This window comes from Homo sapiens, chromosome 20 (assembly GCF_000001405.40).
Source record: "Homo sapiens chromosome 20, GRCh38.p14 Primary Assembly".
Classification (NCBI taxonomy): Eukaryota; Metazoa; Chordata; class Mammalia; order Primates; family Hominidae; genus Homo; species Homo sapiens.
The window spans coordinates 54,122,901-54,124,589 of NC_000020.11; the positions used below are offsets into that span (position 1 = coordinate 54,122,901).

A 1,689-nucleotide genomic window follows, 5' to 3' on the forward strand; every position below is an offset into this window, starting at 1 on the left:
TCACTCAGACTAGGTACAACTAAAATGTAGATAAGTAAGTCACTTTATCTGTGTTTTATTTAAGCAGTACGGTGGTTAGGTGCATGAATGCTACAGCCAGCATGCCTGGTTCGGATTCCTGGTTATGCCACTGTTATTGGTAGCTTAATGTGGAGTTGGTAAGACGGGGATGTGGAAATAGCAGTGTCAATTCGTAACTTGCTTAGGAGGATTAAATGAATGTATAGAACATTGCCTGGCCCTGTGTACAAATTCAAGACTTTGAGCTCAGTTAGTCTGGAGAGCTAGCAGATTCTTAACCTTTGAATCCCCAGCTAAAAACCCTGTCCTGACGAACGTTCATGCACATTTTGACGGCCTTTCAGAGATGCTCAGGCCTTCTCTGCCTCCCTTACTCCCCAGGCTAAGGTCCTCTACTCTAGAAAACACCTAAAGGAACCTGGGGATGTGAGTTACATATGAAAACCACTTTAGTCCTCCTAAGGACACCATACATATTTTCTGAGCCATGGCAAAATCAATAGGTAAACAGGTATTGTTAGAGGGAACTAGGCCTGGTTCCTTTTTCAATGGGGTTTGAAAGTTGTATTTTGTTTATTAGGAAGGAAAGAAGTGGACCTTTCCAGTGGGTGATTCATCATCTGGTTCCTTCAGGGGAAGAGAGGGAGTGACTAGAGAGGATTGATGTCCAGCCTGGGGCCTGCTTTGCTCAACAGGGACCTCATGAAGGCAGGCTTCTTCCTCCTGACATTTCCAGCACTCCTCACGGGCACTCTGGAGAGGGATCTCTGAATCATCGCTGTGTCTAGACACATCAAAGGGCAAGCTGCCTGTTTCTCAGGCTCACCAAACCCAGTCAGGAGCACTAACGTGGCAGGTCTCCCTCTGAATCACTCAGACCAGAGGGAGGGCGCTGAGAGGTGAGCAGGTTCACCCGGCTGTATTCGCTCTTGGGCGAGGGCAACATTCCTCCCTGGGGAATGCAAAGTCATGTTGCCTCTTGCCAAAGCCAGTCAGGTAAGGAGACACTGTTGATTTTGTCTCTGCTTCCTGGTGCCAGAGCAGACCAAGCAGGGCTTTGAAGATGTTGATTAGACGTAAGCCTTGACGAGGAATGTGACTGTCATTCAACAGTGTAGGCACTCAGTAAATACCCGGGGCATGAATTCAAGGGAACGCTACCTTGCAAAATGGGCCACTCACTTCAGACAAGTAATTGAAAGAAACATTTAAAAATTCCAAGAGCAGGAAAGATAAAATAATTGCTTTGGGTTGCTCTTCGGAAGCCTAATGCAACATACAGTTAAGTTTTAGACTTCCTGACTATTCTTCACAAATTTCTTTTCTTCAAACTCATGTTGTTCTTATATCTGAATGTTCTACTGCATACTCTAATAGATTTGATTTCAACCACATCCCACACAAAATCATATTTACACACACACACACACATACATATACACATATGTATATGTATGCAGTTGATTATGGACATAGTTTTCTGCTTTGCAGATACTTTATTAAACATCTATTATATGTGATATTGATATTTCCTTTTCACATGTTAGAAATATTTTGTTTTCCGGTCTCAACCATTTTTTTTTTTTGAAACGGAGTCTTGCTCTGTCACCCAGGCTGGAGTGCAGTGGCACGATCTCGGCTCACTGCAGCCTCTGTCTCCCGGGTTGA

At 44.1% G+C, this 1,689-nt stretch overlaps 1 annotated feature.

Moving 5' to 3' along the window:
* Nucleotides 654-1,459: an enhancer, noted in NCBI's record as "NANOG-H3K27ac hESC enhancer chr20:52740093-52740898 (GRCh37/hg19 assembly coordinates)". NCBI's record gives its function as "activates a minimal SCP1, AML or CMV promoter by ChIP-STARR-seq in naive H9 embryonic stem cells {active_cell/tissue: H9 hESC(naive)}" and the evidence as "EXISTENCE:reporter gene assay evidence [ECO:0000049][PMID:30033119]".